The following is a 26,468-nucleotide window of genomic DNA, read 5'->3' as shown; positions in this document are numbered from 1 at the left end:
AGAACCCCCAAATGGTTTCTGTGTGAAATGCCAAAGCCACACTATTACAAATAGCCAACAGGGTCAATGAATAGTGTGAATGCACTATAACTGACCTTGAGTACTATAAATAAAAACAACAACAGCTCATGCTTTTACTGAATGCTGGGTATCCCTGTCCACACCACCCAAGAAAGCCATAGTTGGTGTCTAGAGCTGTATGGAACTCTGGGCAGCCTAGCATATATTTATATATATATATATATATACTTATTTGGAATAGGAATTTTACTTCTTAATGTGGCATACGTGTGAAGTCTCTAATGTTACTATCAACTCATCCTCAAAAAAGCAGTGCCAGAGAAGCTCCATTTCTGGTTCTCAGTTACCACTTAAACATTATAGTGGTCAGGAACTGAAAAAATGATACTAGATCTGTAACAGCAAGAGTAATATGGGAACAGCAGAGCCTTGTAGGGAAAGAAATAATATGAGCATGCCAGGTACTTACACACTTATGAGTACCTGACCCTGTGCCTTGAGTGTATGCGCGGTATGCCACAAAATCCTCAAGACAGTTCTATGAAGTAGGTAAAAGTCTCCCATTTTACAGATGAGGAACTTGAGGCTTAAAAACATAAGTCATCCTTGCTAGGCACGGTGGCTCACGCCAGTAATCCTAGCCTTTGGGGGACCAAGGCGGGTGGATTGACTGAGCTCAGGAGTTCAAGACCAGCCTGAGCAACATGGTGAAACCCCGTCTCTACTAAAATACAAAAAATTAGCCGGGCGTGGTGGCAGGTGCCTGTAGTCCTAGTTACTAGGGAGGCTGAGGCATGAGAATCGCTTGAACCCGGGAGGCGGAGGTTGCAGTGAGCCGAGATCGCACCACTGCATTCCAGCCTGGGCTACAGAGTGAGACTCTGTCTCCAGGAAAACAAAACAAAACAAAACAAAAATAACACACTCAAGGTGTCTCAGTTAAACACAATGATTCTATTCCACTACCTTGATGTTGATTTATTCTTGGAATGTGCCCTCTGATCACTTTCTCTCTTTGGTATTTTTGGGACTAACAGTGTAGATTTTCCTTTAGAGATAGTACAGAATAGTGGTGATTGAGAGCATAGGCACCGGAGTGCCTACCACACATGGGTTCCCACCCTTCTTTGTAGATAAGCTTCAGTCAAGGTTACTTATCTTCTGTGATCATGATTTCTGCATCTGCAAAATGTGGTAATAGCCATCTCACACACTTTATGTATGTATAACACTTAGCATACTTCTAGCATATATTTAACAAACGATATAGTTTTTTCTATTATTTCCAGAAAGTATTGTTCAACTACACTAGTTATTGTAGCCAACAATAAATATTCAAGTTCTGCTCCTCTTCTCTGTTTGTCAGATACATATGTGCTTACATTGGGCTTGAGCCCAAAGTCTTTTATCTGCCAAAAAAATTAAGAAACTGAATAAGAAGAGACACAAGGGCAAAGCAAGACTCCCCAGTTTAGAACTTGGTTTCCAATAGATCTTTCTTTTTCAGGGCAATGGGTGGCAAAACCATGCTGCTCAAAATCACTTGTTTTGAAACTTAATGGAATCAATTACATATGGAGAAATTTATATATGTAAAAATACAGACATATAACTCAGTGGGGAAAAAACAGTCAAATTGGCATTTGGGTAACATATACAAAGAATGTCATTTAATGTTATGAATTGTTAGCATTTTAAAATAGCTACTTTGATATTATTTTGATTTTGTATGAATAACCATTACACTGGGCACGTAGGCTGGGCACAGACTAATAGCAAAGAATAAAAATATGATAAAAGTGTGATCCATCACAATTTACAGAAATTAAAGAGATTCATTTTACTTTGGTTTTTCCATATGTACAGCTGCTGTATTGAGGTAATGGTTTCAGATAAAGGTCAGTTTCCCACTTTGCCATTTTTACTGGGGGGAGTATGACCGGAGGAGGAGAGTGGAGCAAGAAGCAACATTCATAGGATGCTTTCTGTGTCTCCATACAATAGTGTGTGCCTTGTGTGGATATCTCGTTCAATTCCATCCACACCCCTCCAAGGGAGACCCTCATCATCTCTTGTAGACCATAAATTTGAGGTTTAGAAAGGTTAATTTGCCCAAGAGCTCTTAGCCAGTTAGGGCCAGGAATAGGATTAAGTCCCAGCCTCATGACCTATCCACACCTCACATGCTTCTTTCCAACACCAAATGTAGTAAAACCAGTACACAGAAATTCAAGTCACTTTGGATCAGAAGGTACAAAAACTCTTACCTTGTTTTTGTCCTTTAGGTTTTCTAAACCTTTAGTCTATCCTAGTACATAACATACAGAACATATGTTCTATACATATCCTAACATATGTTCTATACATATCCTAGTACATATAGAACATATGTTCTATGTAAACAGAAAGGCAAATGCACATATTAGAGAGGAAACACGTGTTCATAAACACAGGCTTGGTTTTCACATGATCACAGCCACTCACAGACTCTCAAGCACCAATGCTTGACAACGTGTGGGAAAACCTTGCCTTTTAATTTATAAACTTTGACTCTGACAGGTGACATATTAATAGTAACTGTTTATAAGAACAGTGTGTATTTCTAAGAATTTATTAACTTTATTTTTTAAAATTCCTTTTAGAATTTATACATGCAAACATTAAGCATAATAGTGACTATCAGTCTCAAAAGTGTAATCGAGTATTTTACCTGATAATATGCACCTGTAATATTAGGTTTGCAATGCAATATATGACTATGTAACATGTGCCTTTCTGCTATTAATAAGCATTAAGTTCTGCCACAGCAGTGTGGATTAAGCCAAGTGTAGTTAGTGGAGTGAAACCCACCTAAGAAGATCACCATCAGTTCCACCAAAAAGCAGTCAATTTGATAAAGGATGGTCAAAACTGGGAAATCTTCTAGAAATGGTTCAATCTATGTTTATGTTTTTGAAAAACAATTCATTAAATTTCCTGAGTGTTCTCATTTTTTTGCATCACTTACACTTTCAGATAGTGTTCTTGTTTTGAAACAGTCAATTCCAGAAGAAAGCACTCTGATCAACATGGATCATAGTGACAAGGATCTATGCTAAGCTTTGCCTCTTCCTTTGTCATCCAGATGCTGCAAATGACTTTTGTTGCTGTTCTTGTTCTAGATACTTCTGGACACGGTGTAAATACATCTGATATGTATCCAATGCCCAATACCTTAGAATATGGAAACAGAACTTACAAAATAATTAATGCAAATATGACTTGGTATGCAGCAATAAAAACCTGCCTGATGCACAAAGCACAACTGGTCAGCATCACAGACCAGTATCACCAGTCCTTCCTCACTGTTGTCCTCAACCGGCTAGGATATGCCCACTGGATTGGACTGTTCACCACAGATGTAGGTATCCTAACTCCCTTGAGACATCCTTGAATAATTAAGTTTAGCATCTACCTCCTTCATGATCTGGCCACTGAAATTAGCACTGAAAAAAAGATCCCAAAAATATTAATAAATATAACACTTAAATAATTGGTTTATGCAATTACCTGACCAACCTTATGAACAGCCTATGACTACAAAATAAGAGTGCACACCTCTTTAGGGTAAACATCCACTTGCCTAATGTCTGGAAATTAATACCATTCAAAGGTTCTCTGAAAATTTCCAAGTACCCCGATACTGCCTTGCATGTGCACTGGAACACAGCTGAAACTCAAGCACTGCATTTGGGAATTTGCGGCATTTAATGAATCCCCAAGAAAAAACGAATCATGCTTCTTGTCTAGAAATGTGATTATTAATTAGTTTAGTACCACTTATAATTAAGCACTTGAGGTTTTATTTTCCTCTAGGGATGTGGTTTAGAGAATACGTTATTTTCATTTTTTTAAATAAAATATTGTACACTCAAAGTAGTGAAAAGTAAACTAGTCTATCCTGACCCCTAGTTCTACTCCCTAATGTTAGTAATTGTGAACACTGTCTTGTGTGCCATCTAGAAATTTTCCATGTATACACATACATATTCATGTAATGGAAGAATATGTACATTGTTTTTCAAGCACAAATGAGATCCTATTCTACATGCTGTCTTTAAACTTGCTTTTTAATTTAATATATCTTTAACAACTTCACATGTCAGCACATAAAAATCTCATGAATTCTTTAGAACGCAGCATGTAAGGATATACCACAACTTATTAAACCATTCTCCTGTGAATAGACATTTGGGTTCTTCTCAGTTTTTCACAGTTATAAACAATGCACAACAAATATCCTTGTGCCAGTAGGATAATTTTTTAGAAGTAAAATTGCTGCGTACACTTAAAATTTTGACAAGTACTACCAAATTGCCCTCCAAGAGTTTGCACCAATTTACATGCCAACAACAGTATGTGATAATGTCTAGTTTTTTCACATCCTTGTCAACACCAGGTATTCTCAAAATTTTAATCCTTGCCAGTGGGAGAGATAAATGAATGATATTTCATGATTATTTATTGCATCATGTAGTACAGAATGTTTTAACTTCATGTAGTCAGTTTTGCTTTATAGCCTCTGGATTTTCTATGACTTGGAAAGGTTTTCCCCACACCAACAGTATAAAAAAATTTAACCAGGTTTTCTTTAACATGTTTATGTTTTCAATTTTATGTTTGAATAATTGATCAATCTGAAATGTATTTCACTGTAAAAGACAAGGTACTGGTCCAATTTCACGCCGATTGCTCACTAGAAAATCATTGTGGCAGGGAGCCAAGAATTCCTAAAAATCAAAAAAGATCTCATTTGTGGCAGATATTCCTGTTTGTCAAGCTGTATTCACAGATGTCCTAGCCCCTCTTTAAAAAGGTGTGCAGAAATAGCAATCGATGTGGGAATTGTAGCATGCTCAGATAACACTGGGTGATGCTGCCAGCCGTCGTGGCAAGGAAATGATGGCTCAGTTTTCCTCCACAGAATGGTCTTAATTTTGACTGGTCTGATGGCACCAAATCTTCTTTCACTTTTTGGAAAGATGAGGAGTCCTCCCTCCTTGGTGACTGCGTTTTTGCCGACAGCAACGGACGCTGGCATAGCACAGCCTGCGAGTCATTTCTGCAAGGTGCCATTTGTCATGTGCCACCTGGTAGGTTCAATTCTATTCAACTCAAAAATATACCTTATTTAACTACTGTATGCAAGACACTGTGCTAAGCAAAGGATATGAGGATGAGTATAGTAAGAAGTCTCTCTTCAAGAAGCCTCTGGTCTGGTTGGTGATGTAAAGAATAACAGAACTACAAAATGATATAAGAGAGGTAGCAAATGTTATGGGGGTTATCAAGAAAAAGAATGCATTGTATTCATTTGGAGAAAGGTAGAAAGGCTTCTTGAAGGACATGGCAGTGCAGATGGGCCTTGATAAATAGGTGGGTGTAGATGGGTAATAATGGGACATGGAAAGGCATTCTGAGGAGAAAAGCTGGATGAAAATGGGGAAGGAAGACAGGACGAGGCTTACGTAAGACAAAGCCGATGTTGGGATTTGCCTGAATGCAGGTTAGGCGTAAGGGAGGGGTGGGAAATTAGATGAGAAACATGGGCTTCAAGCATGTGTGGAGGACTTTGAGGATTCATGTTTAAATAAAAGATTGATAGGATTCCAGAGCTACAATAATGATGGTGGTGATATTGTTTGGATATTTACTAGATATCTGGCTCTGCACTTTACATAATATCTCATTTACACTTAAAGTTCACCTGGCCTAACCCCTTTATTAAAAATGAAATGTAAACTCAGAGCATTAAATAGTTTCCTAAGTGTCTCACAGCTGTCCATCACCAGTACCAAGAGTAGAAATCAAGTTTCCTGCATAGAATTCACTAACACAAGCTGGCCTCCTTTTAAATCTCTCATTTAGTAAAAGTGCATGTATTTACTTACATTCTGGGTACTGTATCAAATAACATACAAATTATATATTTTTAGATCAAAACAATTCAGGATTAAATGTAAATGATAGCCACATATATCTTGGAAAAGCTAATTCTACTTCTAAAACTCCATAAAAGCTGTCCTTCCCTTTTCTCCTTTTTTTTTTTTTTTTTTTTGTTAGCACTTGCCTTTTCTTGGAATCTTGTCCTTTCAATAACAATGCATTTATTGAATGCTTAAGAAGTGTCAGGCTCTAACTCATTGAAACTTCTCAACTTGTAAGGAAGGTGGCTGTGTGGCTCACACCAGTAATCCCAGCACTTTGGGAGGCAGAAGCAGGAGGACCTCTTCAGGCCAGGAGTTTGAGACCAGCTTGGTTAACACAGTGAGACTCGTTAAAAAAAAAAAAAAATTCAATTATCTGGGCTTGGTGGTACGTGCCTATAGTCCTAGCTACTTGGGAGGCTGAGGCTGGAGGATCACTTGAGCCCAGGAGTTTGAGGCTGCAGTGAGCTGTGATTGTGCCACTGCACTTCAGCCTAGGTGACAGAGTGAGACTTTGTCTTTTAAAAAGTTTTTTGTAATTAAAAAAAATATTTTTAAAGGTTTTGTTGTTAGCTCTCTTTTATAGATAAAGAAACCAAGTGCAAGGTAACATGCCCATGGTCACGCAGCTAGTAAGTGGTGGAGCCGGGATCTCAGCATGGATGTGTCTAACTCTCATGCTTGCTCTCTGAAATAAAGTCCCTCTGGAGTTCCCTTATTTATTTTATGTTATGCTATGTTATGATACTTTATTGAATGCATTATTTTCTTTCACAGGTTTATTAGTGGGTAAGGACTTTTCAAATCTGTGATACACAGCACTGCATGAAATGCATACATTTGGAAATCTCTTTTACCAGCATCAGTCAGCTGCCACTCTCTCTGGGAGTCATAGCCCCTGCTTGTTCCAACCTTTAGGATGCTAATTGTAAACATGAAAGAGCCACCCTCACCCAGGCAGCACCCAAACTAAGCCTACAAAGCTGTGCCTTAACATATCTTGTTATGTTTAGGTAAAGATTATTTCTGTCAGAAATGCTATAAACTGGTCCTAGTTTTATAATCATTTACATGAAACCCAATCTTTCAGAGTATTACCATGAAAATCTTGTTACATATATTTATCTTGATCTTTTATAGAATGTAATGTAATATTTATCTCAATAAATAAACCCAGTCACCACCCTGAAATCATAACTGGCTTTTCTTCACAGAAACAAGACAATCTGAACACCCAGAGTTGTGCTCAGAAACATCTATTCCCTGGATAAAATTTAAAAGTAATTGCTACAGTTTTTCTACAGTCCTAGACAGTATGAGTTTTGAGGCTGCTCATGAATTTTGCAAAAAGGAAGGTAATTGTTTTTGTGATGGTAAAAATGCTTTCATGTGCTCCTTCTTGCCATTTCAGTAAACAATGTGGATTTCTTTATTCATCCCATTATTTAGTGACTTTAGGAGCAACAAAAACTAAACTATTGAAAAAATAAATACTATTGAAATTGCTTGTTTGGAGGACAGCTACTATATGAAACAATGTCCAGTGTAGAATTTGGAAACCTAAGATGATGTCTCAGCATACTGCACTTTCTGAAGAAAACGTTCCTTTTGCATGCATTTGCATTATGAATTTTGAATGTTCCCTAAAATTAATATTCTATGCCTTAACTTCTGACGTGCAAGCTTGTATCTTTTAAAAAATGTGGTTTTACTTTTTTAATTTAAAGTCTCTTCTTTATAATGGAAATTTTCACTTTTCAAAACCTGAGCTTTACAATTAATAGTATAGGAAACATTTTTTAAAGTATATTTATGTGTAAACACAAATATTCCTTTGCTACTTGTCTCTCTTATAGGTTCTAATCTTTTAACAATCAAGGATGAGGCTGAAAATGCATTTCTCCTAGAAGAGCTGTTTGCTTTTGGTTCTTCTGTCCAGATGGTTTGGTTGAATGCTCAATTTGATGGTAACAGTAAGTGATTTGGGTAGAGGAGAGGACATAAATAAATACATGGTTGTTAAAGCTGATGATAATGGCATCTGTGAGCCAGAAAACTCTCCTTGGATACGTTTTCTGAGAAAAAATAGCATGAAGCCTAAAGCCATTTCTTCCAAAAACAACATTGCAACCCTTTTCTTTACCCTTTTGTCTTTTAAAATAATCCCAGAACACCAAAAATAAAAACAAACAATAACATGTTTATCTTTACCCTTAGCAGGAAGATGCTTGGCTGGAACTTTGTGTTCACAGACTTAGTCATTGCATACCAAAACCATATTTACTGGAAAATATCCCAGGTTTCTAAATGTTATAAAAGCACAATAGAGTTATGGAAATGTTTCCATGATGAACTGTGCTGTTAGGATTCTTATTTGCTACTCATAAAAACCAGAGTTTGTAATAAAATGGAAGCATGGTATTCTTTTCTTTATGTAATTGATGGTTATTGAAAGGTACTTGTGAAGAAAATTATTTTAATTGGTATGGAGAGCTTGTTACAGTGGTGTACCAAGGTTGGGGGTGAGCCTACCCTTTCGAGGAGGAGTATTTTAATCACCAACATTGTTTAGAATTTCAAGCAGATGGTGATAATAAAAAGCAGACCAACTTTTAGTTAGCTGTATTGTTAGTTTTAAATTATTTTCAGACAATACACTATTGCCCACACATGGGATGGACTCTCCTACCGCCCCTACCCCCTTGGTACATGGCTGGCTTGGTATTAAAGAAATTCACTGTAAAATCTTTTTAGAAAGTGAGCCATTTTGTAATGATGAAGATGTTAGGACTTCAAAGGATTTTTCTTTACTCGATTAGTTTTGTTTATCAAATGATTTCTTTAAATCGATTATATATATATATGGAATATTTCAAAATTCAAACTGTCACATTAAGAAACATGATAACCTAAATGACCTAAATAAGAACACTGTACCTAAAATAAAGAGGCAACTTTATTAATGCCTACCTTTTGATGTTGAGTACATCACTGTATTTACTGAGTTGAATGTATTAGTTCAAGAGTCTCATTAAATTCAGGGGCTGCCATCCCATTACTGGGTATATACCCAAAGGACTATAAATCATGCTGCTATAAAGACACATACACACGTATGTTTATTGCGGCACTATTCACAATAGCAAAGACTTGGAACCAACCCAAATGTCCAACAATGATAGACTGGATTAAGAAAATGTGGCACATATATACCATGGAATACTATGCAGCCATAAAAAAATGATGAGTTCATGTCCTTTGTAGGGACATGGATAAAATTGCAAATCATCATTCTCAGTAATTATCGCAAGAACAAAAAACCAAACACTGCATATTCTCACTCATAGGTGGGAATTGAACAATGAGAACACATGGACACAGGAAGGGGAACATCACACTCTGGGGACTGTTGTGGGGTGGGGGGAGGAGGGAGGGATAGCATTGGGAGATATACCTAATGCTGGATGACGAGTTAGTGGGTGCAGCGCACCAGCATGTCACATGTATACATATGTAACTAACCTGCACATTGTGCACATGTACCCTAAAACTTAAAGTATAATAATAAAAAAATAAAAATAAAAATAAAAAAATAAAAAAATTCAGGGGCTGCTTTTTATGGTTAATTCCAGTCTTAGTATGTTTGATAACCATGCACATAATTCATAATGAGTCAGCAATTTTCTCACAGATGAAACCATAAAGTGGTTTGATGGAACTCCCACAGACCAGTCAAACTGGGGCATTCGGAAGCCAGACACAGACTACTTCAAGCCCCATCATTGTGTTGCCTTGAGGATCCCTGAAGGATTATGGCAGCTATCCCCGTGTCAAGAAAAAAAAGGCTTTATATGTAAAATGGAGGCAGGTAGGTAAAGTCAGAGAGTAATTCTTCATTTTGATTCTACCTTAACTAATGTTGACTGACTTCTTTAGCATTTAAAGGTTTTAAAATCCAAGTTGAGAGAGTATTCAGATAGATTCTGACATTATTGTTGTGTTCTGCACCAAACAAGTCAGAGAATAGTTCAGCTCCTTCTTTCTCTGATATGAGAAAAAAAATCATTATAAGTCAACTCAAAGACTATGATTTTTCTTGTGTCACCCAGGTTGATCACCTAATGGGCAAAAAATCATTTTCCCTCAAGCAAATAGAACTAGGAATGTAAACCAGCAACCTTCATTCTGGTGACTGCTACTCAGAATTTTTAAGGTTTATGTTTGGCCTCAGGAAATATAATCTAGGCTTATGTATATTTGCTGTAGACAAGAAGATGTGATTCCCTGTTGCAAGCATAATGTGTCATAAAAGTCACATTTTAACTTAATCATCAGTAACATACTTAGTGTTTAGTAATTAAAAAAAACAATAATTTTAGAAATCTAAGCTAGAAAATTCTAGTCACTGATGGTGGGAAAATGTCTATAATAATTACAGCAATTTCTAGATGTCAGTATTATAAAGGAGGGATTGCTGTGGCCTGTACTGCTAGAGAAGGCTTCAGACATGAGGTTTTAGGATCCCAAAGGATGAAGAGAATTATAGAAGCTGGAACAGAGGAGGAAAAGGCCCAGCCTGATTAAAGGCAGCAACTAAGAATGTGTTTCAATTAGAGCAAAGGGCTCACGTCAGGGGGTGATGGGAATAAAATTGGATGGTAATGTAGGATCCTTTCACAGAGTGCCAGGCTAAAGAGCTGAACTTTGTGGTGGAAGAGACAGACCCCCTATGTGCTCTGTAGACACCTGTGATGAAGTAGAACTCATGAGGATATGAAGAGAAACATTTGTAATTTGAGTGATTAAACTAGGAACGAAAGAGGAGGGGAGAAATAGGAAGAGAGAATCACCGGCCCTGTTGACTGATTTGAGCTGGGAATGAAGAAGAAAACACTGCAGGTGTGGGCACCAATGTTTGAAACCCCCACAGTGTGAGTCTCAACTCTGTGTGAGAGAAAAAAAAAAAAAAAGAAAAACATGGCTAAGCCTGATAAATAATGTGCCCAAGTTATCACTAGCTTTTAAATATCAAGAACAAATCAGAAACACCTCATGTCTTACAGGACTTTAAAGTTTCCTATAATGCAGATGACACCTGTTTCATCCTTCGCAGCAGCTTTCCAAGGTAGTGGAGCAATTTAAATATCCCCATTTTACAGACGGGAAAAGTGCCTGTGCAAACTGAGGCTACATCAAGGACTACAGAGAAAACTCTAAGTTTTCTAAGTGCTCTTTCCATGCCGCCCACTGCTTCTATCCTGAGAACAAACACTCTTAACAGTCTTTCTTAAAGATGTATCTTTATGTTTAAAGTGATGGTTATCCCAAGTACACTATACAAATTATATGACTATATTCAATTATCACTTGTGTTCTGAAAATTTGTGCATCTGATATGCATCAATTTAAAAGAAGTGTCTTCATAAAAACACAATAATACATATTTTCGACAGTTTAATGCAACGTTAAATGGCATTGTTTTTATATTAAAAGAACAAGTCTGGGCCGGGGGTGGTGGCTCACGCCTGTAAATCCCAGCACTTTGGGAGGCAGAGGCAGCTGGATCACTTGAGGTCAGGAGTTCGAGACCAGCCTGGCCAACATGGCAAAACTCCATCTCTACTAAAAATACAAAAATTAGCCAGGTGTGATGGCACACACCCGTAATCCCAGATACTAAGGAAGCTGAGGCAAGAGAATTGCTTGAACCCAGGGCAGAGGTTGCAGTGAGCCGAGATCACGCCATTGTACTCTGGCCCGGGCAACAGAGTGAGACTTCGCCTCAAAAAAAAAAAAAAAAGAACAAGTCTGGTTTTAAAAGTATGGTTTTGCTATTAGTAACAGTGTTGTGATTTTTTTCATGTCTATCAGAGTGAATGAGCATCAGTAGGACATCAAGGCAGTTCTTTTGCTCACAAATCCATTTCTTCATCTTCCTCTGGTTCATTCTCTATACCTTTCTCTGGATCTTTACCTAGATCAAAAATAGAAGAGTTCACATTTTGATATAACATCTACTTAAAAGATGTGTTTTTACAGTAGAAAGTTTTAAAACAGAAACTCTCTAACTTTTTGGATGGAGAAGCTGTTGCTCATTCCCCAAGACCCATGAGATCACAAAGGTGAGAAGATGCTGATTTAAAAATCCTTACAAAGAGTCAGGCAGATTATCATTGCTGGACAAACTCCATATAAGATCCCAACAAAACTGTGAGTTCCTTGTATGCAGGGTTTATATTTTACTCTATATTTATTGCAGCACAGTGCTGGGACTGAATAGAAACTTCTTGGCTTAAAAAAAACAAGCAGGGTGTATGTTTGTGAGCACTAATAACGATGATTACAATAAATCAAAGGTCAGCAAACTTTTTCTGTAAAGGGCCAGCTAGTAAACATTTTAGGCTTTGGGAGCCATATGGTCTCTGTTACATGCCATTGTAGCAGGAAAGCAGCTGTAACAATACATCAATGAATGAGTGTGGCTAAGTTCCAGTAAAACATTTTTTATAAAAATAGGGTCATGGGCCATAGTTTGCTGATCCCTGAGTAAGTAATGACATATTTTTGCTGAATTAAAAGAAAAACCTCATTTTAATTTTTGTATTTGATTTTAGATATTCACACTGCAGAGGCGCTGCCAGAAAAAGGTACGTTTGAAACCATACAAAACATTTTGATTTTTCTTAGAAATAATAAGATAGAAAGCAGCTGTATGACAGTATCTATATTACTTCATCGCCACTGAAGTTTTTCTTTTTTTAAGAAAAATATCTTCTTTCAGGACCAAGTCACAGCATCATTCCTCTTGCGGTTGTACTGACACTGATAGTCATTGTGGCCATTTGCACACTTTCCTTCTGCATATACAAGCATAACGGTGGCTTCTTCAGGAGACTTGCAGGGTTTCGGAATCCTTACTATCCTGCAACCAACTTTAGTACAGTATATTTAGAAGAAAATATTCTCATTTCTGATCTTGAGAAGAGTGACCAATAATAATGAGGTCAGAGAATGCCACAGACACCAGGGTAAGTAAAGAAGACTAAACAGGAGTCTCATCTGTCTTTCCCTTTACAGCACAGATGCCATTAGAATGTGAATTGGGTCACTATTTTAATTATTCTTGAAGTGATTACTGGTTTTGAATCTTAACCAAATCAGATGGGTTTTGATTTATTCATTTCCCTAAACTGTGATCCATTCTTAAAAGGGGTAAATTATGCATTGGTTATTTTTCAGAAAGACAAGAACTATTAAAAGAAACTCCCTATTGAAAACTCTGAAATCAATGCGAATAATAGTTTTTGCATTAATGTATCTCTACTAAAATTTGGGGGAATTTTAAAACTAATCTGGTATCTATTCAGACATTTACCTGCACTCGTACCATTAAGAAAGACAGAAAGAAGCAAAAAAAAATTAATCTTGTATATGAGAGGAAAAGGAAAGGGCTTCTGAGAGGATTCTTAGTTGTTTCTTTTGAATTCACTTTTAATAGCAGGATTTGGAAAATACTAATTTCTGTGCTTAAGGGTCACAGGTTCTGGGCTCTCAACTGATATTTAAGGTGACATTCATTTTTATTAGGTCTAACATCTCAAGCTAAAGGAGAAAGAAAAATACCTTCTTTTAAATGGCAAAGACCTTCATTAGCAGCACACTTTTATAAACAACCATATAGTTAAAATGTGGCCTTAAACTTTCAATTACTAAATGATGATTAAGTTGGATATTTTAAAATGTCTTATACATAAGCTTAAAGTAATATATTGAAACTTTAACAGTTGTACTGTTAAAACTCATGGACTTTCTGAAAAACTAAATATATAAAATAATATGTAACACTCTTAATAACTGGAAGATATAAAATGTAACTTGGATTTAAAGGAGAAGAGCTAAAGATCTGAATTATAGTCTCATTAGAACCAGACAGATGTTGTTGAGAAGTACTAAATAAATTAGTAATCTAGATATCTTTATTATGTAAATGAGTTTAGGTGTTCTATTTAATAAACTATTTTCTGGGAACGATCTCCTTTTATATTAGTCTAGTTAGTGTAGATGGTAAATAATGATTATGATACTGTCTGTAAATAAAAAATTACAGATTTTATTTTCCTTTATTAGTTCCTTATAAAGAAAACAGCTTCATAATCAATATCTAAAAATTTACTCATTACATAACTGTTTATTGAATTTTATCAAGAAAAAAGTGTACTGAGCATGGTGGCACGCACCTGTAGTCCCAGCTACTTAGGAGGCTGAGGGAAGAGGATCAACTGAGCCCAGAAGTTGAAGGCTGCAGTGAGCTATGGTTGCACCACTGCACTCCTGCCTGGGCAACTGAATGAGACCCCACCTCAAAAAAGTGCTGTTCTAGAAACAGAGGTACTAAGGTGAGCAACTTGGGGTAAGGGCTATCTTTTCATGCCACTTATTTTCTAATGAGGGAAAATTGACAGTAACTCAGTAAAGAAATGCATATGCATAAAATAGCAAGTGGTTATGAAAATGAAGTAAGGTTCCATGATAGAGAGAAACTGGGGGACTCTCAGGGCCTCCCTGAGAGTGTGCATTTTAATTATTACAACCAACTGCCTCAAAACCAGTGGCCACTAATCACAAGGGGGAGCTCTGAGAGAAAGTATGAATGAATTTCTAAGAGGCAAACCATCATCATTAGAAATACAATTTGAAGAGCATACCACTAAGAATGGAATCCTTGTGGCCTGCAACAGTTAATCCAGCTTCCAAAAGCAGCTCTTTGCTACTGTTATAATAATTTACACACTGGGACAGTCTACCTCCATAATTTTTTTAAGTATTGGGACTTCATTTTTTAAAAGATATTATATTATGTGGCAGTTGCATATTTATGACTCAAAAAATAATTGGCTTGAACTCACCAGATGGTATAAAAGCCCAATTTAACCATCTTTTGAGTGGAATTAAAGTTCTGTTCTTTTCAATGGACTTGGTAAAAACTGCTAATCAACCAGCCTTCCAGTCAAGGTATATAGTCACACATAATAATTTGACAAAATACACCATTAGGAAAGTGATTTTGCAGAAAGAAGCTGTATTGCTTCTCAGTGCTCCATACTTTGATGTTTAGTATTGAACAACATCTCCAGATAATCTGGACCCATGGACAGATCACACACTTCTTGCCATTACTGAATTTGCAGAAATAGTACTGAAGTATTCTGCTACATTTTTATATTTGCATTTTTTTTGAAACTTTTTTTCATTTTTTTTTTTTTTTTTTGGAGATGGAGTCTTGCTCTGTTGCCAGGCAGGAGTACAGTGGCATGATCTCAGCTCACTGCAACCTTCAACTGCCTGGTTCGAGCAAGTTTCCTGCCTCAGCCTCCCGAGTAGCTGTGATTACAGGCACATGCCACCATGCCCAGCTAATTTTTGTATTTTTAGTAGAGACAGGGTTTCACCATGTTGTCCAGGATGGTCTCGATCTCCTGATCTCGTGATCCACCCGCCCCAGCCTCCCAAAGTGCTAAGATTACAGGCATGAGCCACCGCACCTGGCCTCATCTGTATTTTTAATGTGAACTAGATTTTATAGCTATAATTCGAAAAGAAAAAAAAGTAGCAGGTAATGGGTATATTATACACTATTTGCGTGATGGTTACACCAGACTTTACCACTACATACTGTATTTATGTAACAAAATTACACTTGTACTCCTTACATTTATGCCAAAAAAGCGGCAGGATCACAAATTCACACATAGTTAATGTGCCCCTCCAACAGTCAATTATGTTCTATGACTAACCTGAGGATCTTTATAGAATCTGAGTAATGGAAATGCCTGGGTTTTTCCATTTAACAATATATTGGGCTCTTACAGTTACAACAGTCTTCTTTCGGGTTAAATATTTCTTCTCTTGAAGGGTCCACTCCTTATTAAAGATAAGATTGAACTGAATGTTTACTTAAACGTTCAGTCTTTTGGAGTTTCTTTACTCTTCTCAAAATGGTGGTTGGATATATAAGAACTTGCTGTGTCCTGGTAGTGTTGAGGGGAGAAGGTGACAACTTACTGTGGATGTATGTTAGCTGGTGTCCACTGAGAATAGCTGTCTGGCCTCACTCCTGGGAATTCTGCTGGCATCTGCTGTGAAGTCTGCAGTTGCTTTAATCTGTAGTCTGTTCTCTTTGATTTGGCCTCATTCTGGCTGTCCCTGGTGCTGTCTTATCTCTTGAGAACTGGCTGTGTCTCCTGTTGAATTCCCTATCCGAACACTGCAGTTCTTGGCTACAAGGCAGTCACTTCACCCCTGCAGTGGTGAGATCCCATTAGCTACCATTAGCTACTCTTTTCGTCCAGAAAGGCGAAATGCCATAGCAAACAATCCCACAGTCTTGGTGGATTAACACAGCAAAGGTTTATTTCTCACCCACACCTGCATGGGCTGGCAAGAGGACTTTGCTCTGTTCAGTCATTCATGGGTCCATGCTTCTCCTATATAGCCAGCCCTCTGTCTCCTAAGGCCTGGAGTCCTCCATGGGCCTCCAATCTGTGGCTGACAGAGGATGTTGACTTGAGACCCATCTTTGATTCATTATGGAGCTTCCACAGGCTGTTGAAATCCTCTAAGTCAAAAGTCCTCAAACTGGGGACACATGCCTAAGGAATACAGGAGCATGGGTATTTAAGAAACTTAATTTCCAGAATCTTCATGTATATTTTTTCTTAAAACTGATTTACCTGAGAGCACCCCTGGTTCTTCTTTCCCACCTCTCTTTACACAAATGCCTTTCTCTACCTTTAAAAAGAAAAAGAAAAAGAAATGGCTTTCATTTCAGATCTTACTATGGGAAAATCCTCCATGGCTCCAAAGAAAAATATTCGAAGTATTGATGTCAGTGAAGCTTCTTTTAATAAAGAAATTGTAAACTCATTCTGTAGATCCTCACGTCTTTCTCTGTGTTAGGACATTTTTCTGTTAAAGTTGAAGCGATGACTTAGAAATGAGTTATTTTGCCCCATGTTCATATTCTGAATTAATATGTATTATACAGTGGAACAGCTGGAGTGCTACTTTCATTTGAAAATTTATCTCATCCACTGCCTGACTATTGTCAGAGAACAAGCTGTAGAAAAAGTCTGGTGAAAGCAAAGTGAAGCATGTGTTGCCAAGAACCTAACATCTTATGTTATCCAGAAGAAAGTCCCAAGGCTTGATTTATCTTAGATTTCTATGTGAGTTGTGAGGATGAGTATTAACAAGCTTATTTGAACTGAAAAATGAATTCAGACCTTTTCTGAAGTTTTTTTTATTTGGCTCATTGGTTTGACAACAAGGATTGACTTTACCCATTAAGTTTTATGATGAACATTTTGTATTAATTGAATGAACTAAATCTGCTGCTCTTGTGTTCTGATTAAAGCTTGTAATAGGGTAAAGGCATTTTAATAGAAAAATAGTATTGACTGAACTATAATGAAGTGATATTTTACTTTTCCCAGCCTTCATTTGTATATCAGGTAAAGCAAGATGCCTGTAAGTGAAAGAGTAACAGGCATAATGAACAGTTATTTGAAGAGTCTTAGTAAAGCCTTTTAATTTTACTTGTAGGAAATTGACATGAATCATTCTAATGACTGGGTAACAAATCACTTTGCAAGTAGGGTGTTTCCACTTCTATGCTTTAAAAAAAACTGAAGGAGAACATAATCAAGCAGTTGGTTGATATAGAAAATAATTTTTAATGTAGAATCACTGATTTTTTGGCACCTATGAGAAAGGAATTCAAGTAATAGAGGGATATTGTTATAACAAACCTCCTTTTATTCCCATCTACTTATTTATATGAACAAAGTTTCTATGTTAAGATAAGTTAGAGAGTGCTGTGGAAACAAACCCTGTAATACTAGTGGTTAAAAACAAAACTCAGAAGTTAATTTATTGATCATGCGAAGCCTGCTATGGTCAGGACACTTGCCTCCAAGCAGTAACTCACAGATCCAGGCTGTGTCCTACCTCCAGAACATGGGGCTTCCAGTGCTGCTATGGCACTAGAGAACTGTTAAGTTCCCAGGTTTAGGAAGAAACACGTGGCACTTCCACTCGCGTGTCATTGGCTGGAACTAGTCACATGACCTAACCTAACTGAAAGGAAATCCAGGAAGTCTTCTGCTTTGTGTGCTCAGGAAAGAGAGGATAAGGGACTACAGACAGCACCAGCAATTGCTACCAGAGTTTCTCAACATGTATAGCTACAAAAAAAGAAGAGAGAGAACAGAATTGATGCTGAACCTTGATTTATACTAGCAGTTTTTAATACTAATTAATTTTTATCTATGATATATCCATTTCATTAACAGATCCATTTGCTATCATTTTAGTTTGACATATACTATCTTAATCTTTGTAACATATTTATTTTGTTCTGATCAATTGTATACTAACAATAATTGAAATGACAACTCAATATAGAAGAAAATGTGTAATACTTAGAGCCTATGTTCACAGGGACTTCTTAAAAAATAATTTTAGGCTGGGCGCGGTGGCTCACGCCTGTAATCCCAGCAACTTTGGGAGGCCGAGGCGGGTGGATCACGAGGTGAGGAGATCGAGACCATCCTGGCTAACAAGGTGAAACCCCGTCTCTACTAAAAATACAAAAAAATTAGCTGTGTGTTGCGGCGGGTGCCTGTATTCCCAGCTACTCGGGAGGCTGAGGCAGGAGAATGGCATGAACCTGGAAGTCGGAGCTTACAGTGAGCCGAGATGGCGCCACTGCACTCCAGCCTGGGCGACAGAGCGAGACTCTCTCTCAAAAAAAAAAAAAAAAAAAAAAAATTAATTTATATACATATTTTTACTGCAGGAAAATATGACAAGGTAATGAATAAAATATTTCACAAATTAAAGTATATCTCATTAGGATAAAATTCTGTGGGGGAGTTGGAATGGAAATACAAGATTGAAAGAAAGTAATATCTCTGACTGCTGAAGAGGTTATTTCTATTTTTAAATAGATTATGATAGAATTCAAATTGTTGTAGTATCTCCAGTCAAAGGAACTTAGGCTTCTTGAGAAAGTGGTTGATTGCAGGTCTAAGGCAGGAAAATACAAGATGAAACTGGAATATCTTGTGATGGCAGAAAATAAGGAGGTGCTCACAAAAAGATGGCACATGTCTGAAGGCTACAGGAACCAACCTGAAGGAGCTCTCCAGTGGAAATGCTGGAACAATTTGAGCAAACAATAAAAAATTATAATATTGGATTATAACCCACACAATAAATATCTGTGTGTCCATACTGATGTAAACAATTGAATGAGTGAATGAATGAATGAAAAGAAGAAACAGTTCTTCTCCCCAGTAAATTCCAATTGATAAATGTAGAAGAAATGGGAGAAACAAAAATCACTATCAGGAAAACACAACAGTAATAATTGTTGGCAAGACCTACCAGTTGGTGCAAAAGTTAGTGGGTGAATGTTTGAGGAAAAACAGAATATTTGCATAACCTTAGAGTATTTTCCCCAAAATAATCACTAATTACAAAGAGAAAGTAATAACTTTACAGTAGAGAAACTTCTTTAATCAAGGGATCAAGGTTAACAGAAGCAGTAATAAGCCACATCAGCATCATGTACCCCCTGGTATGGCATTGAGAAGGGCACATGACTTCTTTGGTATCCTCCCCAAAATGCATAATCTCAATCATGAAAAAACATTAGACAAATCCAAGTTGAGGGACATTCCACAAGATAAATGATCACTTCAAAAGTGTCCTGGTCATGAAAGATAAGGAAAGATTGAGGAAATGTCAAGGATTGGAGGACACTAAAGAGACATGACAACTACGTGCAAGTTGAAATCCTCAAATGGATCATGGAACAGAAAATGGTCATTATGGGAAAATGGGAAAGTAAAATAAAGTCTATGGTTTAATTAATAGTATTGTACCAGTATTAGTTTCTTTGTTTTGATGATTATACCATGGTTTTATGAGATGTACCATTAGAAGAAGCTGAAGGAGGCTGTACAGGAACTCTCTGGACTAAGTTGGCAATTTTTCTGTAAACCTAAAATCATTTCAATATAAAAAGTTAACATTTTGCTATGATATTAGACACCACTGGATATATTAAAAGGGTGATAAGGCACTTTTATTTTTACATGTTGTTATTTATAATATTCTGAAAATTGCATCCTAATTATAAAAAATTTTGGCTGTCAACTTAGAAATTCGTGAAGCAATATGCCTTCTTTCATGATTCTTTTAACAATTTTGTATGCTAGCCAAAAAGTTTGAGGACCACTGCTATATGACATTTTTTCTCTCATGTCTCAGATGAGAAGCAGGGCAAAACCCTGTGTGTCTCCAACTTACCTAACACACCATCCGCTGTAGGATTAGGAGCCAGACACGTCTTGCTGCAGGCCATGCTCACTTCCATCTGCTCTCTTTTCCCTGCATTCTTCTTTTGTGTCACTTCCCTGACTTGTCAGTACTTCTAATTCTCATAGTCCTGCTATCCCCTACAACCTCGTGCCTTAGTATTAATAGGGTACAGCAGGGAAAAACTCACTTAGTTTCCATTTTGTTCTTGGAGAAGAAAAATTTGGAGACATTTCCAAAATGGCATGTACATCATAATTCTTATTGCCAACATTTATAAGAAACTTTGACTGTAGTGATTATCAAGATACATGCTTGGAATATTTATTCCCTCTTTCCCCACCTTTCAAAATAAGGATTTAGAGCAGGAGTTGGCAGGGCCAAATCCAGCCTGCAGCCTATTTTGGAAATAAAGTTATTGGGATGCTGCCATCCCCATTCACTCACATACTGTGCATGACTGCTTTCATGCTTCCATGACAGAGCTGAGTGGTTGCAACAGAGACCGAATGGCCTGCAAAGCCTAAAATATTTACTTTCTGGACCCTTACAGGAAGTTTGCCAACCCCTGATTTAGAAAGTGAAAACCTAAATGGGGAAGTCTTACATACTTTAACGTATCTTAGCAAGCACTGTTATGTTAATGTATATGGACAGCACTTAAAATATATCAATAAACAATTATGATCAGTAAACATTTATTTAGAGCCTATTGTGGCCCAGAGAGTGTCCTGTGCTCAGAGGCTATAAATACCAATAACACCCCATCTCTCCCCTCATGGAACTCAGTCTCAGGGGAGAGGAATATGTAAATGATAAGTGCAATGCAATGTGACATAAATAATATCAAGAAGAAGAGAATCAGAAAAAAAAGGAGAGGGGACTGATTAATTCTGTCAGAAGTAGAGAAAGGCTTAACAAGATAAGTGATATGTATTAAATTGTAGGAAATGTTAGATAAACAGCTTTCTTTAGTATTTTTTGAGTTAGAAAGCAAGTTTTTAGCTTGGGGTCAGAATATTTTTAGAGAAAAAGTTTAAAATGTGCCTAAATCTGAAATTCTGGATTTAAAAAAGTGAAAATCTGCATGTTCCTCTAATACCTAATGACGAATTCTAATTGCAGAAGGATGCCAATAACTAAAACCACAAAATGAACCCTATGTATACCGGTGACCTTCTTTACTCAGAATTAATTAACACAAGCACTTGTTTCTTGCAGAGCACTTTGCTGTAATTTAGAACAAATTAAGGGAAAAAATCATTCAAGTGCTGTTTTCTTCACACCATGAAGTAAGCATGATGGACCAAAGTTAACTAATTTAAAATATTATCATCCATTTCTTGTAATTATGAATAGCAATACCATCTTTTTTCTTCAAAAAAAAAAAAAGACATCATGATCTATGCTATTTTCAACTTGTTTCCTGTGCTTCTATTAATGGAAATTGATTTTTCAAGATTAATGTAAAATGTGTTTCTGTTTCTCCCATTAAGTCTCTTATTTATATTAGATCCAATGTATATGTTCCTGGATATTTTTCAAATAAATATATTTTTAATATAATACAGCAAATTGTAAATTGTTAAAGGACCATTTATAATGTTTTCTCCTTGCCCTCCCTAGCACTGAAACTGTGGTTTTATTATTGTCTTCACACTGTTGTTTGTGAATTAACTTGAGCTCCTTGAGTTCCTACTTCTAAGAGATTATTTAAACTTTACTTTTTACCTTCTTAGTATACAGAGCTTGGTAGGAGCTGGAAACCCGACTCACAGATTTAGGAAACAGTGGGTTCTTGTCCCTGTGGACATCAGAACTTGGGGGACGGAGAGATAGAGAACCAGAAGGCAGAACAAGGAAAAACTCAAAGAAAGGAATGGGGAGGAATGGAAACGTAACAGGACATGTTGCCTCAGTGAGTCACCAAGGGCTTTGGAGTTCTTAGCCCAAAATGTGGTTCTGTGGAGGCTGAGGACAAACTTCAGGACAGAGCATGCCTTAATCGATGTGCTAAGCCACTGGCTCGGGCAGTCCTTAAGCAAGGGCTCCTCTGATCAGACAAGGAATTGTTTCCTTCCCTTTTACTCCAGATGACACCTAAAGGTGCAAAAGAAAACCATCTCTGCACACTACCAAACAGACAGTGCGTGAACGAAGCAGACCCTCCTGACCACAGCCAAGGACTGGAGAGCTTGGTGAAACTGGTGCTCAAGGTAGAAATTCCCTGCGATTGCTACTGCAACTTATACTAAACGTCCCAAGTGAAGTGAAGGGAGAAAAAAGAGATATTAAGCAAGAAGGCCCACTTGTTTATGCATTGCTTTAGAAGATAATCTGTAATTGCATATTAATAAGTAAAGTTAACGTTACACTTAAATAATAACCTATATTTGTTACTGCATTTGAATCACTCTTATCTGACTTAGTTGGTCAGGAAATCAAAAAAGTCAGTTAAAGGAAGGAATCATAAGAATTGTTTTAACATTAGTTTAAACATTTTATTTTCTATTAGAACACATAAACGTACATTTATCCACTAATCTTTTGGTGTAGGGACAATGTCATTCCTTTTAATATTCCTTCCTGTTGGTTTTATGCATAAAGTATATCTATAAGGTGTTGTTCACAATCTCTGGTTTTTCGTAAATGAAAATGAAACCCTGTCTCTGAAAAAAATACAAAAAAGTTAGTAGAGTGTGGTGGTGCATGCCTGTAGTACAGCTACTTGGGAGGCTGAGCCGGGGGAGATTGAGATTGCAGTGAGCTGTGATTGCACCACTGCACTCCAGCCTGGGCAACAGAGTGAGACCCTGTCTCAAAAATAAAGATAGCTGTAGAACAATTTGAGTGCAAGCCCCAAATGTGTATAACTTTCCTCAATATCTGTAGTTGTCTTGCTCAATAATAGCTCACTGCAATGTCAAACTCCTGGACTCTAGCAAGCTTTCTCCCTCAGCCTCCTGAGTAGCTGGGCCCGCAGGCACATACCACCATGCCCACCTTATTATTTAAAAAAACTTTTGTGGAGACGGGGTCTCACTCTGTTACCCAGGCTGGTCTCAAACTCCTGACCTCAAGTAGTCCTCCCTCCTCACCCTGTCAAAGTGCTAGGATTGTAGGCATGAACCATTGCACCTGGCCCTATTTTATGTTTTACAAACTGTATAATTACAATGTCTAGTACAATTGGCATTAACGGATTTCGGAACAAACACAACCAACTGGTGCTAAGCGTATGAGGGAACCCATGGGTGGAGCAGCCTGGACTGCCTTATTTCACAGGTAGCTTGGCTGGTCCCACAGCACAGGTAAGTGGTAAGCTGCGGCTTCAGCTGTTCGTGTTTGAGACTTATTCCATGTACAGAAAGTTAGACTTTCCCTCAGAACTGAACTCTGGAATCCACACAGAATAGATCTGAGCATAAATAAGCAAGAAAGAAAGAGAATAGCTCCCCAGGCCACCTGTCAGATTGGAACTTGATTTAACTTGTCTGAAAAAGGAAATCACGGAGGTGCTGAGGAAGGAGTGGGAAGAGAAACAGTCCCCTATGGAAGCAGGCTCAGAGACAGGTGTCCTCAGCAGTTTTGGGAGAAGGGACTTGCACTTCCAAAGCCAAGGCTCCTAGGGATATGGCTAAATGATTTTAGGGTTCCAAGGACATCCCTGTGGTGAGGTGGATACATCATTAGGATCTGCTGTAAGCACAACTTCCTTCATTTCATTTCCGTGTTCACCAAAAATCTCTAGCTAGGATTTAAGTCCTCCGTGTAGGCGTGTCTGGCACTGAGAGAAAGTCTGACTCCGACTTTGAGTATATTAGACCCCTAGGAGGATCTAATAATTTCCAAGGGGTTTGGGGGGAACAGGTGGTGTTTGGTTACATGAGTAAGTTTTTTAGTGGTGATTTCTGAGATTTTTGGTGCACCCATCATGCAAGCAGTGTACGCTGTAACCAATGTGTAGTCTTTTTTTTTTTTTTTGAGACGGAGTCTCGCTCTGTCTCCCAGGCTGGAGTGTAGTGGCACAATCCCTGCTCACTGCAAGCTCTGCCTCCCAGGTTCACGCCATTCTCCTGCCTCAGCCTGCCAAGTAGCTGGGACTACAGGCGCGTGCCACCATGCCTGGCTAATTTTTTGTATTTTTAGTAGAGACGGGGTTTCACCGTGTTAGCCAGGATGGCCTCGATCTCCTGACCTCGTGATCCACCCGCCTTGGCCTCCCAAAGTGCTGGGATTACCGGCGTGAGCCACCGCGCCTGGCCACCAATGTGTAGTCTTTTATCCCTCATCTCTCTCCCACCCTTCCCCCTGAGTCCCCAAAGTCCATCATATCATTCTTATGCCTTTGGGTCCTCATAGCTTAGCTCCCACTTATGAGTGAGAACATACGACGTTTGGTTTTCCATTCCTGAGTGACTTCACTTAGAATAATTGTCTCCAATTCCATCCAGGTCACTGCGAATGCCATTATTTCATTCCTTTTTATGGCTGATTAGTATTCATATATATATATATACACACACACACACACACACAAATATATAATACATATACATGCACATATATATACATATACATATAGATATATACATATACATATACAATTTCTTTATCCACTCATTGATTGATGGGCATTTGGGCTGGTCCCACATTTTTGCAATTGCGAATTGTGCTGCTATGAACATGCGTGTACAAGTTATCTTTTTGGTATAATGTCATCTTTTCCTCTGGGTAGACAGCCAGTAGTGGGATTGCTGGATCGAATGGTAGTTCTACCTTTAGTTCTTAAAGGAATCTCCACACTGTTTTCCATAGTGGTTGTACTAGTTTACATTCCCACCAGCAGTGTAAAAGTGTTCCCTTTTCACCACATCCACACCAACATCTATTTTTTTATATTTTTTTGGTTATGGCCATTCTTGCAGGAGTAAAGTGGTATCACATTATGGTTTCAATTTGCATTTCCCCTGATCATCAGTGATGTCGAGCATTTTTTCATATGTTTGTTGGCCATTTGTGTATCTTCTTTTGAGAATTGTGTATTCATGTCCTTAGTCCACTTTTTGGTGGGATTGTTTTTTCCTTGCTAATTTGTTTGAGTTCCATGTCGATTCTGGATGTTAGTCCTTTGTCAGATGTATATATTGTGAAGATTTTCTCCCACTCTGTAGGTTGTCTGTGTACTCTGCTGATTGTTTCTTTTGCTGTGCAGAAGCTCTTTAGTTTAATTAAGTCTTGTCTATTTATCTTTGTTTTTGTTGCATTTGCTTTTGGGTTCTTGGTCATGAAGTCTTTGCCTAAGCCAATGTCTAGAAGGGTTTTTCCAATGTTATCTTCTAGAATGTTTATGGTTTCAAGTCTTAGATGTAAGTCCTTGATTCATCTTGAGTTGATTTTTGTATAAGGTGAGAGATGAGGATCCAGTTTCATTCTTCTACATGTGGCTTGCCAATTATCCCTGAACCATTTGTTGAGTGGAGTGTCCTTTCCCCACTTTATGTTTTTGTTTGCTTTGTTGAAGATCAGTTGGCTGTAAGTATTTGGCTTTATTTCTGAGATCTCTATTCTGTTCCATTGGTCTATGTGACTATTTTTATACCAGTACCATGCTGTTTTGGTGACTATGGCCTTATAGTTTGAAGTCAGATAATGTGATGCTTCCAGATTTGTTCTTTTTGCTTAGTCTTGCTTTGGCTATGTGGGTTCTTTTTTGGTTCCATATGAATTTTAGGATTTTTTTTCTAGTTCTGTGAAGAATTATGGTAGTATTTTGATGGGAAATGCATTGAATTTGTAGATTGCTTTTGGCAGTATGGTCATTTTCACAATATTGATTCCACCTATCCATGAACATGGTATGTGTTCCCATTCGTTTGTGTCATGTATGCTTTCTTTCAGCAGTGTTTTATAGCTTTCCTTGTAGAGGTCTTTCACCTCCTTGGTTAAGTATATTCCTAAACATTTTATTTCTCCTTGTAAATTAATAAACTGACATTGTGATGTCCTCCTCAGTCTCATGTATGATTTTGTTTGGGCAGTGGCAGCTCTGGAACATTGCTGTAGGAGGTGCATAGGTGTGGGCAGTCTCACCAGAAA

General features: G+C 37.6%; 1 protein-coding gene across 16 annotated transcripts in view, besides 1 other annotated feature; it reads left to right on the top strand.

Moving 5' to 3' along the window:
* The window catches only part of PLA2R1 (phospholipase A2 receptor 1), a 138,683-nt gene that overhangs the window by 107,855 nt on the left and 4,360 nt on the right, over positions 1 to 26,468 (top strand). For 2 of the 16 annotated variants that reach the window (XR_007071494.1, XR_007071493.1), the window contains 8 exons: positions 3,183 to 3,421; positions 4,985 to 5,153; positions 7,202 to 7,342; positions 7,844 to 7,960; positions 9,679 to 9,855; positions 12,602 to 12,634; positions 12,769 to 21,661; positions 22,109 to 26,377. Coding sequence is in view for 9 of the 16 variants with exons in the window: in XM_011510820.4 (XP_011509122.1) it covers positions 3,183 to 3,421; positions 4,985 to 5,153; positions 7,202 to 7,342; positions 7,844 to 7,960; positions 9,679 to 9,855; positions 12,602 to 12,634; positions 12,769 to 12,983 (1,091 nt within the window). In the remaining 7 variants the exon portion in view is untranslated. Of the gene's footprint in view, positions 1 to 3,182; positions 3,422 to 4,984; positions 5,154 to 7,201; positions 7,343 to 7,843; positions 8,957 to 9,678; positions 9,856 to 11,050; positions 11,519 to 12,601; positions 12,635 to 12,768; positions 26,378 to 26,468 lie in introns of those variants that run through there. The other 14 variants (XR_922892.4, XR_007071491.1, XR_001738672.3 and 11 more) reach the window with 14 other exon arrangements.
* Positions 14,495 to 14,544: an enhancer, noted in NCBI's record as "active region_16696". NCBI's record gives its function as "activates an Ori minimal core promoter by ATAC-STARR-seq in GM12878 lymphoblastoid cells {active_cell/tissue: GM12878}" and the evidence as "EXISTENCE:reporter gene assay evidence [ECO:0000049][PMID:35858748]".

This window comes from Homo sapiens, chromosome 2 (genome assembly GCF_000001405.40).
Source record: "Homo sapiens chromosome 2, GRCh38.p14 Primary Assembly".
NCBI classification, from domain to species: Eukaryota; Metazoa; Chordata; class Mammalia; order Primates; family Hominidae; genus Homo; species Homo sapiens.
Note: the sequence above shows the minus strand (reverse complement) of the source record. Positions and strands in the feature narration are given on the sequence as shown.